The sequence below is a fragment of the Homo sapiens genome, chromosome 22 (genome assembly GCF_000001405.40).
Source record: "Homo sapiens chromosome 22, GRCh38.p14 Primary Assembly".
Lineage (NCBI taxonomy): Eukaryota > Metazoa > Chordata > Mammalia > Primates > Hominidae > Homo > Homo sapiens.
Genome location: NC_000022.11, coordinates 50,643,050 through 50,658,956, shown reverse-complemented (window position 1 = coordinate 50,658,956; position 15,907 = coordinate 50,643,050). Strand labels below are relative to the sequence as shown.

At 45.8% G+C, this 15,907-nt stretch overlaps 3 annotated features.

The window, feature by feature from the left end:
* Positions 1,848–3,047: an enhancer, noted in NCBI's record as "CDK7 strongly-dependent group 2 enhancer chr22:51094338-51095537 (GRCh37/hg19 assembly coordinates)". NCBI's record gives its function as "activates an origin of replication core promoter dependent on BRD2, BRD4, P300/CBP, MED14 and CDK7 cofactors, with strong dependence on CDK7, by STARR-seq in HCT116 cells {active_cell/tissue: HCT116}" and the evidence as "EXISTENCE:reporter gene assay evidence [ECO:0000049][PMID:35650434]".
* Positions 14,603–15,102: an enhancer, noted in NCBI's record as "OCT4-NANOG-H3K27ac hESC enhancer chr22:51082283-51082782 (GRCh37/hg19 assembly coordinates)". NCBI's record gives its function as "activates a minimal SCP1, AML or CMV promoter by ChIP-STARR-seq in naive H9 embryonic stem cells {active_cell/tissue: H9 hESC(naive)}" and the evidence as "EXISTENCE:reporter gene assay evidence [ECO:0000049][PMID:30033119]".
* Positions 15,103–15,604: an enhancer, noted in NCBI's record as "OCT4-NANOG-H3K27ac hESC enhancer chr22:51081781-51082282 (GRCh37/hg19 assembly coordinates)". NCBI's record gives its function as "activates a minimal SCP1, AML or CMV promoter by ChIP-STARR-seq in naive H9 embryonic stem cells {active_cell/tissue: H9 hESC(naive)}" and the evidence as "EXISTENCE:reporter gene assay evidence [ECO:0000049][PMID:30033119]".

The following is a 15,907-nucleotide window of genomic DNA, read 5'->3' as shown; positions in this document are numbered from 1 at the left end:
GAGACTAGCCTGGTCAACATGGTGAAAACCTGTCTCTACTAAAAATACAAAAAATTAGCCGGGCGTGGTGGCGGGTGCCTGTAATCCCAGCCACTCGGGAGGCTGAGGCAGGAGAATTGCTTGAACCAGGGAGGCAGAGGTTGCAGTGAGCCAAGATCACGCCATTGCATTCCAGCCTGGGCAACAAGTGCGAAACTCCATCTCAAAAAAATAAGAGAGAGAATGCTTATGACCAGGTGCAGTGGCTCACGCCTGTAATCCCAGCACTTTGGGAGGCTCAGGCAGGCAGATCACAAGGTCAGGAGTTCAAGACCAGCCTGGCCAACACAGTGAAACCCCATCTCTACTAAAAATACCAAAAAAAAAAAAAAAATAGCCGGACATGGTGGCAGGCACCTGTGATTCCAGCTACTCGGGAAGCTGAGGCAGGAGAATCGCTTGAACCCAGGAGGCGGAGGTTGTAACGAGCCGAGATCATGCCACCGCACTCCAGCTCGGGCGACATGCGAGACTCCATCTCAAAAAAAAAAAGAAACAAAAGAATGCCTGTTATATTTTAATCAGCATCTATCGCAATAGATGGGTTTTAGATTATATTGTTGGAAATCTGCTTTTCTTATTCAGCCACAGCACTGAGCACACATAAATGCTAAATGATTGCATGCTGGATAGATAATCAATGAAAGCACAAATGAACAGAAGGAACATTTATCTCACACGCACACACCCCGAAGTTGAGGCACTGGGGATACAGCAGTCTTGGCCACGCACATCCTGTCATTCACTGAGGGTTCTGGCATCTGGGTCATGGGTTGCCTGCTCACTCCGAGTGCTGACATCATCCACACCCCTCCAAGTGACCCCTCACACCATGGCTTGCAGTTCCTCAATGTCTCACTGACTGTAACAGCCACAGTTCAGGTACAGATTACAGACCCATGTGTGGCCACTTTGAGTGGAAAAGGGATTTAATACAGGGAGGTGGTGCCTACAGAATCATTGGGAAGTGTCTAGCACAAGCTTCTAGAAATACACCTCCCAGAAATAACACCGTACGGTGGGTGCCCCTGGAGGTGGCTCTGCCATAGTTGACAAACTGAGGAGTTGGAAAGCTGATGTCCTAACTACTGGCTCAAGATAGAACACACTTCTCAGCCAAGGCATCTATTTCCCAGTCCCCTTCACAACTAGGTCATGTCACTGAGTTCTGGAATTGATTTGGGTAGAAATGATGTGTACCACTCCTAAGCCTGGTGCATAAAAACACCCTGCCCCAACCTGCACACGTTCTCTTCACCCTCCTGCTGGCTGGCTATGGACTTCCACGAGGCCCTTAAATCCACATCAAAAATAGCAGTGGTTCGGCTCAGGCATGGCGGTTCAAGCCTGTGATCCCAGAACTTTGGAAGGCCGAGGAGGATTGCTTGAGGCCAGGAGTTCAAGACCAGCTCGGACAACAAAGAGACTCCCATCTCTACCAGAAATACAAAAATTAGCCAGGCATAGTGGTGAGTGCCTGTAGTCCCAGCTACTCGGGAGGCTGAAGTGGGAGGAATGCTTGAGCCCGGGAGGTAGAGGGTGCAGTGAACTGTGATTTTGCCACTGCACTCCAGCCTAGGTGATAAGAGTGTGACCCTATCTCAAAAAAAGAAAGAAACATCTTTATATTAAGCCACTGAGATTTTGAGTTTTACGTGGCAGAGTAGTTGGTGTTTCCTCAGCTGATAAAGGAGGGGAGCTCCAGGAGCCCGCCTTGGGCTTCCCACCTTGAGAGCCCTTCTCCGAGTCGGCAGAGCATGTGCATGCTGGCCAGCTGCTCAGAACTTCTACTCAAATAATATATTTGAGAACTGGGGAGGTGGCCGGGCACAGTGGCTCACACCTGTAATCCCAGCACTTTGGGAGGCTAAGGTCGGCAGAGTGCTTGAGCTCAGGAGTATGAGACGAGCCTGAGCGACACGGGCTCTATAAAAAATTTAAAAATTAGCTGGGTGTGGTTCGTGCCTGTAGTCCCAGCTACTCAGGAGACTGAGGTGGGAGGATCGCTTGAGGTCAAGGTCGAGGCTGCAGTGAGTCGTGTCTGTGTCACTGCATTCCCGTCTGGGTGACAGAGCGAGACTCTGTCTCAGGAAAGAAAAAAGACAACTGGGGAAATTAACACAAGATGGATTCACACCCCCCCACGGTGTCCATTGTGCGATGGACTGTGGCCCAAAAGCATGTCTCACTTGACTTCCAAAGCCCTCCTCTGACCAAGGGACTGTGGAGACATCATAGCGTCTGGGAAGTGGCATCAGCTCAGACCCAGTGCCCAGCAATCCCTGAGAGCCTGGGCGTCCCTTCCTCCAGGGCACAGCCATCCTGCCAAGGGCTTTGCCTCCCTTCAGGGGAGCCTGGGGGAAGCCATCCACAGCCTTGGGTGTTTCCGTCAGATGTGTCCCTCTAGCAGAGGGTCTGGGAATGACTCACATCCAGGAATTGCAAGAGGAACTTCCACCCCCCTGCCCTGCAACCAAGCCCAGGCCTGACTCAGGATTTTTCCACCACTGCTGCCCCTTCACCCCGTTCTGCCCTCTGCTTTTGTCCTGGAGGGCAACTCCTTGGCAAATGAGTCCAACGTCTGTGAGGCCACACCACTCTGCTTGCCCAGCACGGTGACCTCGCCTGCCCGGCCGGCCATGTGGCCTCAGCCGCCCCAGAATCTCCTCACTTGGTTTCCTGGCAGCATTGTCCCCTTCGTCCCCAGCAGCCTTCTGAGAGTTTGCTAAGGGTGTTGTCACTCCCCTCCCCACTTCACAGTATGCCTCTTAAGGTCTTGTTGAGGGTTGTCCCACAGGCCATCTCACAGGACAGTTAGGGGACAGCAGAGCAGGTGAAGCACGATCCATTCTTGTCTCCTTCAGGCTTTGGATGCCTTTTCCCCAATAAACCGAGGATTTTCTAGTATGTTACCTTCCTTCCCCTGGGCTGCATGGCGTTGGTTTTAAGAACCAGAGCACAAGCAGTCCCCTCCCAGACAACCCACCAGCCCCTCCAATCCAGGACCCGTGGTGATTGCCTCCGTTCCACCGGATTTAGGATCATTTTCCTCCAATATCCATTCCTCTGGACTTGGCTGAATGAGATTTACAAAATGGTGCAATTAGTTTGGTGTCTGTTGCCTCTTCCTGGGTTAAAGTTACCCTTGCCCTGCCCTGAAAGACTGGACTTTGACCTACTCATGCGTTCACCCCACAACCTTGCATTCCTTGAGCTCTTGGACCTGTGCAACGATGGCTGCCTCTCCTCTCATCACGGCCAGATCTTCCATGGGCTTTGCACTGGGGAGGTCTTGGCTGCCACAGACACCAGTTCTGGAGGCGGCTCTCTGCAGCCACTTCAGGGCGTAGATCTGCTTTAGAAGAGCTTCCTTCCAAGCTCCGCCTAGTTCCTTGAAAGCACCGGAGAAGCCGGGTACGGTGGCTCACGCCTGTAATCCCAGCACTTTGAGAGGCTGAGGTGGGCAGATCAAGAGGTCAGGAGTTCGAGACCAGCCTGACCAACGTGGCGAAACCCCATCTCCACTAAAAATACAAAAATTAGCCGGGCGTGGTGGCACATGTCTGTAATCCCAGCTACTCGGGAGGCTGAGGCAGGAGAATCACTTGAACCCAGGAGGCGGAGGTTGTGCTGAGCTGAGATCGCACCACTGCACTCCTGCCTGGGCAACAGAGTGAGACTCCATCTCAAAAAAAAGAAAAAAGAAAAAAAAGAAAGAAAGAAAAGAAACCACTGGAAAAGAACATGATCAGTGCAGAACTTCCTTCTGAGAAGAAACTGACATTTCTGGGCTGGGCAAGGTGGCTCAAGCCTGTAGTCCAGCACCTTGGGAGGCCGAGGCAGGCAGATGGCTTGAGTCCAGGAGTTCAAGATCACCCTGGCCAACATGGTGAAAGCCCATCTCTACGAAAAATACAAAAAATTAACCGAGCTTGGTGGCCCACACCTGTGCAGTCCCAGCTATCTGGGAGGCTGACGTTGGAGGATCTCCTGAGCCCATGAAGTCGAGGCTGCAGTGAGCTGAGACTGTGCCATTGCACTCCAGCCTGGGCAACACAGCAAGACCCTGTCTCAAAAAAAAGGAAAGCTGGGTGCAGTGGCTCACACCTGTAATTCCAGCACTTTGGGAGGCCACAGCAGGTGGATCACTTGAGGACAGGAGTTTGAGACCAGCCTGGCCAACATGGTGAGACCCCGTCTCTACTAAAAATGTAAAAATTAGCTGGACGTGGTGGCACATGCCTGTAGTCCCTGCTACTCGGGCAGCTGAGGCAGGAGAATCGCTTGAACCCAGGAGGTGGAGGTTGCAGCAAGCTGTGATCACACCACTGCACTCCAGCCTGAGTTACAGAGTGAGACTCTTTCTCAAAAAAATAAAATATATATATGTTTTTTGAGACAGAGTTTCACTTGACTTGCCTCCCGCAGCCTCCCGAGTAGCTGGGATTACAGGCATGCGCCACCACATCCTGCTAATTTTGTATTTTTCGTAGAGACAGGGTTTCTCCATGTTGGTCAGGCTGATCTTGAACTCCCAACCTCAAGTGATCCGCCCATCTCAGCCTCCCAAAGTACTGGGATTCCATGCGTGAGCCACTGTGTCCAGCAAAAATAAAATTTAGAAAGAGAGAGAGAGAGAGAAATTAACATTCCTGATAAAATGGTAATTTTGTGAACTGTTGGGCTTGCTTTTGGGCACCCACCCAGCGGATAACTGTCACTCACAGGTCAAGTGACCTGTAACCACAGGGTGTTTCTGTGTCGAGGCCAATGGTAGTTCTTGTTCCTTCCCTGAGTGAATCTTCGAAGGGGTCTCTCAGGGCCTTCACCTTGCACGTGAGTCTGTAACAAAGCCTGACCCTTGGTCGTAACTCACCTGAAAAGTTGTCTTCAGCAGGCTTATAGCCTCCTCACCCAAATAATCCCTATCAGGCCTCAGGTCTCAGCTAAATGCCCCCTTCTCTGGCAGACCCTCCGTGTCTGGAGGTTCTCGTGGCCTGACCCAGTACCACCCATCGCTGCAGAATGACAGTAATCATAATACCAGTGTGCCACATGCAACCCTCGCTGAGCATCTTGCTCATGTTGATGCCGTTACACCTCCCACCAACACAGTGAGGTGGGTACTGTCAGAGGCATTAGAACCACAGCAACCCCATCGTGAATAGGGGCTGGGTAAAACAAGGCTGAGACCTACTGGGCTGCATTCCCAGATGACAAGGCATTCTAAGTCAAAAGATGAGACAGGAGATGACACAAGAATACAGGTCAGAAAGACCTTGCTGATAAAACAGCTTGCCCCAAAGAAGCCGGCCAAAATCCACCAAAACCAAGATGGCAATGAGAGTGGCCTCTGGCCATCCTCACGGCTGCACTCCCACCAGCTCCACGACAGTTTACAGATGCCATAGCAATGTCCGGAAGTTAGGCTGTATGGTCTAAAAAGGGAGGCATGAACAATCCACCCCTCGTTTAGCATATCATCAAGAAATAACCATAAAAATGGGCAGCTGGCAGCCCTCAGGGCTGCTGTCTATGGAGTAGCCCTTCCTTTACTCCTTTACTTTCTTCATAAACTCGCTTTTGCTTTACGCTATGGATTTGCCTCAAATTCTTTCTTGCGCGAAATCCAAGAACCCTCTCTTGGGGTCTGGATCGGGACCCCTTTCCAATAACAGTACTATTGTAATACACTTGCAGGTGAGAAAGCATCCGTGGGAACTTGCCTAACTCAGGCCATCCAGGAGCTGAGGAGCAGCAGCTTGTGAACCCTGAATATCTGAGACAGGTCTCAGTTAATTTAGAAAGTTTATTTTGCCAAGGTTGACACGTGCTTGTGACATGGCCTCAGGAGGTCCTGATGACATGTGCCCAAGGTGTTCAGAGCACAGTTTCATTGTATACATTTTAGGCGGACATGAGACATCAGTCAACATATGTAAGATGAACATTGGTTGGGTCCAGAAAGGTGGGACAACTCAAAGCAAGGGCAGGACAACTGGAAGCGGGGAGGGGGCTTCCAGGTTATAGGTAGAGAAGAGACAAATGGTTGCATTCTTTTGAGTTTCTAACTAGCCTCTCCAAAGGAGGCAGTCAGATATGCATTGATCTCACTGAGCAGAGGGGTGACTTTGGATGCAATGGGAGGCAGGTTTGCCCTAAGCAGTTCCCAGCTTGACTCTTCCCTTTAGTTTAGTGATTCTGGGGCCCCAGGATTTATTTTCCTTTCACATTTCCTCTTTTTCTTTTTTAAAATCTTCCAGAGAAAGTGTTTCATAAGAAAATGAGTCTCTGGCCGCAGGTGAGGGTTAGGATGGCTTATTCCTAGATAGGTAGGTCTCGAGTTATTACAAAAGCTCATTTTTAACAGGTTGTGAAGTCTCTCATGTCCTATGAAGAGAAAATAGGGGAAGGAAGGGAGAAAAACAATAACAAACAAAAGAACAATCCTGGAAGATCAATATAGGCCACATTACTCTGAAGTCCATACATCAGTAGGCAGGTATGAAAGTGGCTTATGTATGTAAATAGGTTGGTGTTATTTTCTTCTGAAGTTTAAGCTGTCTAGCTTCGGTTCGCAGTGCTTTAAGAAAGCATAGCTTAGTTTTCAGTGACTTCAAATTAAGAAAAATGGGGGAGGCCAGGCTCAGTGGCTCACGCCTGTAATCTCAGCACTTTGGGAGGCCAAGGTGAGTGGATCACAAGGTCAAGAGATTGATACCATCCTGGCCAACATGGTGAAACCCCGTCTCTACTAAAAATACAACAAAAATCAGCCAGGCATGTGGCAGGCGCCTGTAGTCCCAGCTACTTGGGAGGCTGAGGCAGGGGAATCGCTTGAACTTGGGAAGCGAGGTTGCAGTGAGCCAAGATCGTGCCACTGCACTCCAGCCTGGTGACAGAGTGAGACTCTATCTAAAAAAAAAAAAAAAAAAAGAGAAAGAAGAAGGGGGAAAAAAGAAGAAAAAAATTGAAAACATTATTTTGAAGACTTGTAGGCAAGAAAAATTAGAATTCTGTCCAAACTGTAGAAAATAATAAAAATTGAAAAACATTAGGCAAGACTAGAATCTAACAACAGGTGTACTATAGGTTTTGAAACATAATTTTTTCTCTCTCCAGTTTCCTTTTTTTTTTTTGAGACAGAGTCTCGCTCTGTCACCCAGGCTGGAGTGCAGTGGCGCCATCTCGGCTCACTGCAAGCTCCACCTCCCGAGTTCACACCATTCTCCTGCCTCAGCCTCCCGAATAGCTGGGACTACAGGCGCCCGCCACCGCGCCCAGCTAATTTTTTTGTATTTTTAGTAGAGACGGGGTTTCACTGTGGTCTCGATCTCCTGACCTCGTGATCTGCCCACCTCAGCCTCCCAAAGTGCTGGGATTACAGGTGTGAGCCACCGTGCCTGGCCAGTTTCCCATTTTTACTAAAGACAAATCATGGTGGGATTGATTTGCTCTATTATACTTGGCCTGATTCTTTGTATACAGTGTGGCAAGAATAATTATATTTTTACATAGGCTTTTAAATTGGCTTTGATGGAACTTTGTTCCATAGATGGAATCTCAGATAAGACTTTTTAAAAAGTCGAGCCCAGCCATGGACTGGTACCATCAAATACCTATGAGTCGGGTGAATTCCTCTCCTCTTGAAGTTCCAAGATAATCTTGGTGTCCCCGGGCTGGTCAGAAAGTGACATTCTTTTTTTTTTTTTTTTTTTTAAACTGAGTCTTGCTCCATTGCCCAGGCTGGAGTGCAGTGGCACGATCTCGGCTCGCTGCAAGCTCTGCCTCCCGGGTTCATGCCATTCTCCTGCCTCAGCCTCCCGAGTAGCTGGGACTACAGGCACACTGCCACCATGCCCAGCTAATTTTTTTTTTTTTTTGGTATTTTTTAGTAGAGATGGGGTTTCACTGTGTTAGCTAGGGTGGTCTTGATCTCCTGACCTCGTGATCCACCTGCCTTGGCCTCCCAAAGTGCTGGGATTACAGGCGTGAACCACCACACCCAGCCAGAACCTGACATTGTTTACTTACCACAGGGATTCGACTTTACATTTTCTTTACTTCACCCTGTCCAGGGACTGTGGAGAAGGTCTAATTACCACAGGGACTCGACTTTACATTCTTTACACGGTACAGGGACTGTGGACGAGGTCTAATTACCACAGGGACTCGACTTTACATTCTTTACTTTACACTGTACAGGGACTGTGGGACAAGGTCTAATTACCACAGGGACTCGACTTTACATTCTTTATGCTATACAGGGACTGTGGAAAAGGTCTAAGGTCAGTTTTCCCATGGGGCTTTTATTGGCTCCATAAGTCGAGTTGGATTCCTTAAAGGAAAGCATACTTTCTATATAATTTTTATACCAAATAAGCCAAATTATGTCATTCTTTTGACTTTAGGAAACCTAATATCTTAAAGGATTAATTCGGTCAGAAAAAGACAGAATTTATAATTTGATTTTGGAAAGTTTGTTGAATATCAAAGGTTTAAAACACTTGATATCACAGGGCATTGTAAAATAAGTAATTCACTTGACCAAAGTGATAGCTCAAGAATTTTAAAAAAAAAAGGCAAAAGCCTTCATTCTTTGAGAGAGAAGACTTAATTTTCCAAACAATAAGCCCTAATAAAAACAGCATGAAGCCAATTAAATTTGTTTTTCAAAATTTTATAAACAATCTGTAAAATTTTAATATTGACCATAAGATATAACTTCCACAAGCCTTTTATAACCTTTATTAAGGAGTCAGTTAATGCTTTAAGAAAACCATGTTAATCTGACACAGGGGCTCATATTCTGGTCTTGCATAAGTGTGCCTTTGACAGCAATGATTAATTTATAGAGAAACTGAACTTATTTTATCTCTCAAATCAGCCCTTACAACCTCACATGTCCACCTCTTCCACAATCGTCCTTGGGCCTTCAGGAGTTGAATAGCTTTAGTCTCTGTGTCTCAGGAATGAAGTTTATTTTGATTGGCACCTTCTACCAGGCCCGAAGATGAGGCTTGAATTGCTGTCAGTGTTTAAGATTTAGCAGGACTTGGTGTCCTTTTCAGACCCAGGAGTCAAAGCCCTGTAACTCAATGCCATAAGGACTTTAAAACCACATACAAAGGATACACAGATGTAATAACCTTAATTTAAAAAAAATTTTTTAAATCTCTTTCTTCCTAAGCAAACCAAAACTTAATAATAATGGCATAGGAATTGTTTTGATAAACCATAAAATCTGTTAGGCCAGTTACCAAAAGGTAAAAAAAAAAAGACCTTCTGCACTGCACAGAATATTATGTTGGAAGAAAACATTTCCTTTAGACCTTTAAGAAAACATTGTTAGTATCAAGCCACAACAAACAGAACTCAAGGAAAAAAACTTAAATGAGCTGAAAATGAGTTTAAGGAGAGCATTACTATTTTGTACCCTTTAAAAAGGGAGAGAAAACAAAAAAAACAGCAAGATGCAATAAAAGTTGAACTTTGCATTAAAAAAATTAAATCTCTTATAATTTATTGAGTCAATTAATCCTTTAAGAAAATTTCATTGTTCTATCCAATTATTTAGTGTATAAAATTTTTTTTTTTGAGATGGAGTCTCGCTCTGTTGCCCAGGCTGGAGTGCAGTGGCTCGATCTCAGCTCACCGCAAGCTCCACCTCCTGGGTTCACACCATTCTCCTGCCTCAGCCTCCCGAGTAGCTGGGACTACAGGCGCCCGCCACCACGCCCGGCTAATTTTTTGTATTTTTTAGTAGAGATGGGGTTTCACCATGTTAGCCAAGATGGTCTCGATATCCTGACCTCGTGATCCGCCCGCCTCAGCCTCCCAAAGTGCTGGGATTACAGGTGTGAGCCACCGCGCCCGGCCATAAATTGTTTTTACATCAAGCCCAATCTCTAGAAAGACCATGTGATTTCCCTTTAATTATAGACAACTTGATCATATAAAAATTTTTGGGTTTTTTTTACAAATCCTCTTATTGTGACTTACACAGACCATTCGTGACATGCTTGGACTTTCTGGTTTGTCTTGAACAACCCTCTTTCTTAAACAGTCATTGTACATAGGACTAAATTTACCATACAAGATTCTTTCTCATATTACATTATTTCTCTTTAAGTTTTCTTACAAAAAAAAAAAGCTCTTTATTTTTATAGCTTTCTTTACATCTCTCTTATTTCCTGGTTCCTTTTCCCTTGTTTTATATATAACCTTTAAATGCGCTTTCAGTTAGACAAAAATTGTTCACCATTTTAAAAAGGACACACATTTTTTAGAAAGAATGTTTTCCTACAACATATTTTTATTGGAAAATACCCAAATAATGAAATATCCATTATTTAATTTAATATAACTTTAGGCTGGGCACAATGGCTCGTGCCTGTAATCCCAGCACTTTGGGAGGCCAAGGCGGGCAGATCACCTGAAGTCAGGAGTTCAAGACCAGCCTGGCCAACATGGTGAAACCCCATCTCTACTAAAAATACAAAAAATTAGATGGTGGTGGTGCATGCCTGTAATCCCAGCTACTTGGGAGGCTGAGGCAGGAGAATTGCCTGAATCTGGGAGGTGGAGGTTGCAGTGAGCCAAGATCGTGCCACTGCACTCCAGCCTAGGTGACAGAGAGACTCCATCTCAAAAAAAAAAAATTAATATAACTTTAGATTCTAAATTATGATGAGTTTGTCTATAATTACTTATACCATTACATTTACCTAATTATTTTATTTTAATCATTTACCTAGATTATTTATGAAAACTACAATAGACATCATTTAAAGTTATAGAACCACCATTTGCAAAATTATAACTGAGACAGTGAAAAGATTTGACCTAATTGACTCCATCTTGCTTCTAACCTCCAAGCTGTCTTTGTTCATTCCTGGGCATAGGCTGAACAAACTTTAGGAGGAACTTAGTTTATAGTTTAGCTTTGAAACAAAGACGATAACAATCCTCTCCCAAAACAAACCTTATGGCCTGTGGACTAGAACACCTAAAGCCACAAGATTAGAAGTTATGGTAATCTTACTAAATTCGAGATGTAGCTGTTTTCATTAAACCAATATCAATGTCTTATTTATTAAAAATTACAAAAGCAATTACACAAGGGTTGGGTTTATAGTTAGGGTTAGGGTAACCTATGTAACCCCTATGCCAATTTTGACACCTTATAGTATTTGGCAGGGATAAGTATGAAATTGCTTGATCAATAAATGCAAACAAAAATGTATGCTGGCAATTCTTAAGACATTTCTAATATTACTTTACCAATAATTTGCTAGCTTATTAAAGATTGTACATAAGTTATGTAAACTTGAAAAAGCATTTGACTAGTCTTTTCTTTTTTCCTGATAAAGTATTTGATGCAAACGCTTTTCTTTTCTTTTCTTTTCTTTTCTTTTTTTGAGATGAAGTCTAGCTCTGTCACCCAGGCTGGGGTGTAGTGGCACGATCTTGGCTCACTGCAACCTCACCTCCTGGGTTCAAGTGATTCTTCTGTCTCAGCCTCCTGAGTAGCTGGGATTACAGGTGCGCACCACCACGCCAAGCTAATTTTCTGTATTTTTAGTAGAGATGGGGTTTCACCATGTTAACCAGGCTGGTCTCGAACTCCTGACCTCATGATCCGCCCACCTCGGCCTCCCAAAGTGCTGGGATTACAGGCGTGAGCCACTGTGCCTGGCTATTTTCTTAAATCAATTAATTACAGCTCTTAATAAATTCAATAGTGAAACATTGTATACACATTAATTAATTCATTCATTAATTTTTTTTTTTTTTAGACAGAGTCTTAATCTGTCACCCAGGCTGGAGTGCAGTGCCTGAGATCGTGCCTCCCAAATCTAGGAATGAGAGAAGGAGAACAACCCCCTTTTGAGCACTCCTATGAAAACAACAGTTCAGTTCCTCACTCAAATACACACAGACAAGCAAAATCATGATTAATTTTGGGAGAAAAAGCAATAGAGCAGGCCCTTTAGAATGCATCTCCAAACTAGAATTAGGATCACTAAACAACAACTTTCTAGGAGAGAAAGAAAAACAGCCAAGACTACTCCCTGTAAACTGTGCTCAGTCACCCCTAACTTTGTAGCTGTTGTCCACAATTACACATGCCAAGGTCAAATCCTCTCACAGTACAAGGTCATCTCTGGTACCCCAAAGCCAAAAACGTCAGGTCATGCAATACAGGAAAACAGAGCTTTAGACTGAAGAAGAATCTGCCTATGACTTGAAACTCCACAAAGAAAACAGGACACCCCAAAAGGGGCGAGTGATGCCTTTGTTCTGAATTCTCTTTTTTTTTTTTTTTTTGAGACAGAGTCTGACTCTTGTTGCCCAGGCTGGAGTGCAGTGGCACAGTCTTGGCTCACTGCAAGCTCCGCCTCCTGGGTTTAAGCGATTCTCCTGCCTCAGCCTCCCAAGTAGCTGGGATTACAGGCACCCGCCACCACACCCGGCTAATGTTTTTGTATTTTTAGTAGAGACAGGGTTTTACCATGTTGGCCAGGCTGGTGTCAAAGTCCTGACCTCAGGTGATCCGCCTGCCTCGGCCTCCCAAAGTGCTGGGATTACAGGCGTGAGCCACCGTGCCCAGCCTGTTCTGAATTATTTAAAGGCGTTCAAGTCATTAGAATCCTTCTCTAGATTCTTTGCAAATGGCAAACGGGGGGAGGAGGTATAGGGTGAAAGAAAATAAATGAAAGAAGTTTTTTTAAAAAAAAACGAAGCAAACACAGAAACCAAGTGCATGGTTCTCTGGTTTTCTTTGTTTTGTTGTTTTTTCCACTTCTGCAGCTGCAAAGAATTTTAGCCAAATTAGACAGGCTTGTTATCCATAATTTGGAATTCTCACTCAGATTTGACCAAGTCAGGTATGGTTGGTCAAATCTGATGGGAGAAAGACCAGAATAAACAACAAAAAACCCCAACAATATGATCACAGAAGGGTCTAATGGAGAAATTAAGACCAGCTGATGGTTAAACGTTAGCCAAGACAAAACCCCAATTCGGCTACTTACCTAGGGATGGGTCTCAGGCCGAAGATGGCTCTCTACCATCCTAGAAGCAGGAAAAAACTCGAGCTCGTCTTCCCTGCTGGGATCGAGCTCAAACTCCATAAAGGAGTTACCTGCGTTCCATCATCATGGAAGCATGAAAGCTTGCCTTCCTTGTTGGACGCAAGACAAACTCCAAAAAGAAGGGAGTTGTACAGCAAATAAACTTTAGATCTTAACCAAATTTTGGAAGCTCAGGGATTCTCTGGAGGGGATGCTGCCAGATCTCAGCAAATTGTCCTGTTGGTTTGAGCCATAAAGTTAGCTCATGCTGGTACCAAGCACTGATAGGAGATTTGTCCAAATCAGGGGCATCTCCACTCAGAATCCCTCCGTGGTTACCAAAATGTGAACCCCGAATATCTGAGATGCTCTCAGTTAATTTAGAAAGTTTATTTTGCCGAGGTTGAGGACACATGCTCGTGACACAGCCTCAGGGGGTCCTGACAACATGTCCCCAAGGTGGTCAGAACACAGTTTTGTTTTATACATTTTAGGGAGACACAAGACATCAATGAACATACGTAAGACGAACATTGCTTTGGTTCAGAAAGGCGGGACAACTGGAAGCAGGGAGGGGACTCCCAGGTCATAAGTAGATCAGATATACATCTATCTCAGTGAGCAGACGGGTGACTTTGGATACAATGGGAGGCAGGTTTGCCCTAAGCAGTTCCTAGCTTGACTCTTCCCTTTAGCTTAGTGATTCTGGGGCCCCAAGATTTATTTTCCTTTCACAAGCTCATGCCTGGGCACAGGAGTGGGAGAGAGAGCTTGGGGACCAGGCTGCCCTCCTGAGAGAATGCCACAGTGGTGGGCATGAAGGAGTCCAGGGAGCAGGATTCCAGGTTGGGGAAACAGCAAGCTCAGTGGCCGGAGGCTGGAGGATGCCTGCAGCCAGCCTGGGCAGACAGCTTGAGGGCACTATATCAGAGACAAAAGTGACTCAATGACCCTTGTTAAAGCACAGTCAGGCACACTTCATTCAGGACCATCACCAGAGGTATAGAGACCACTGGAAGGGGAATTGGCAGCGGGGGAGAAAGACTGGACTCAAACCCAAATACAGCCTGGGTAACTGGGAGTTTATAGCCAAGGAGCAGGGTGGGGGCAGGAGATGTTAATGTACTAAGGGAAAGCATCAGGTGTGAAGAGGATTCTTGCTGAGGACAGGCCAGAGTGACCAACATCACCTGCCAGGTGGTGGAGGGTGAGGAACCTGACCAGATATGATTGCAACCGCCTTTGCAAAACTGCGACTGAAGCAGTGAAGGAGATCTAACATCTAACATCTAACCAGCTCCATCCTGCTTCTAGCCTTTAAGCCATGCTTGTTCCTCCATGGGCGCAGGTTGAACTAACTTTGGGAGGAGCTTGGTTTATAGTTGACAGTTTAAAACAAAGATGAACAGCCCTTTCCCCAAACAAACCTCTTTCTTCCCTGCGGACTAGTCTGCCTTTATAGGACTAACAAATTAGCCACAAGATTACAAATTATGGTTTAGGAGTCATGCTGCTGGAGGCTGCAAGATTCTGATCTTCCCTAAACTGCTCCTAAGTAAGAACAGTGCAGATTCTGATCCTCCCTAAACTGCTCCTAAGTAAGATCAGTGCAGATTCTGATCCTCCCTAAACTGCTCCTAAGTAAGATCAGTGCACATTCTGATCCTCCCTAAACTGCTCCTAAGTAAGATCAGTGCAGATTCTGATCCTCCCTAAACTGCTCCTAAGTAAGATCAGCGCAGATTCTGATCCTCCCTAAACTGCTCCTAAGTAAGATCAGCGCAGATTCTGATCCTCCCTAAACTGCTCCTAAGTAAGAACAGCGCAGATTCTGATCCTCCCTAAACTGCTCCTAAGTAAGAACAGCGCAGATTCTGACCCTCCCTAAACTGCTCCTAAGATCAGTGCAGATTCTGACCCTCCCTACACTGCTCCTAAGATCAGTGCAGATTCTGACCCTCCCTAAACTGCTCCTAAGATCAGTGCAGATTCTGACCCTCCCTAAACTGCTCCTAAGATCAGTGCAGATTCTGATCCTCCCTACACTGCTCCTAAGATCAGTGCAGATTCTGATCCTCCCTAAACTGCTCCTAAGTAAGATCAGTGCAGATTCTGACCCTCCCTACACTGCTCCTAAGATCAGTGCAGATTCTGATCCTCCCTAAACTGCTCCTAAGATCAGTGCAGATTCTGACCCTCCCTAAACTGCTCCTAAGATCAGCGCTTGAGGTATTTGCAGACCCTGCGCTTGATGCATCAGTTGGCACCACCCAGATCCATAAACTGGCTCATCTGATCCTGTGGCCTCAACCCAGCAGCTGACTCGGCACAAGAGGACAGCTTCGGCTCCCCATGATTTTGTCTCCAACCCAACCAATCAGCATTCTCAACTCACTGGCCTTCCCCCACTCACCAAATTACCCTCAAAAACTCTGCTCCCCGAATGCTCGGGGAGACTGATTTGAGTAATAATAAAACTCTGGTCTCCCATACAGCCGGCTCTGCGTGAATTACTCTTTCTCTATTGCAATTCCCCTGTCTTGATAAATCGGCTCTGTGCAGGCAGCGGGCAAAGTGAACTCACTGGGTGGTTACATAAAGGGTGATCAGGTCCTTACTAAAACTGGATTTTACAAGGAAGTGCACAGATGGGCTCCGGAGAAGGTTCAGGAGCTGCCGTCTGCCCAAGCAGAGAAGCTTTCATTGCCACACAGCAGCTACCTCACACCTGCCACGGTTCTTGTGGGCAGTGGATTCCGTCCTCATCTGCTCAAGACTGTGCCCCCAAGCCG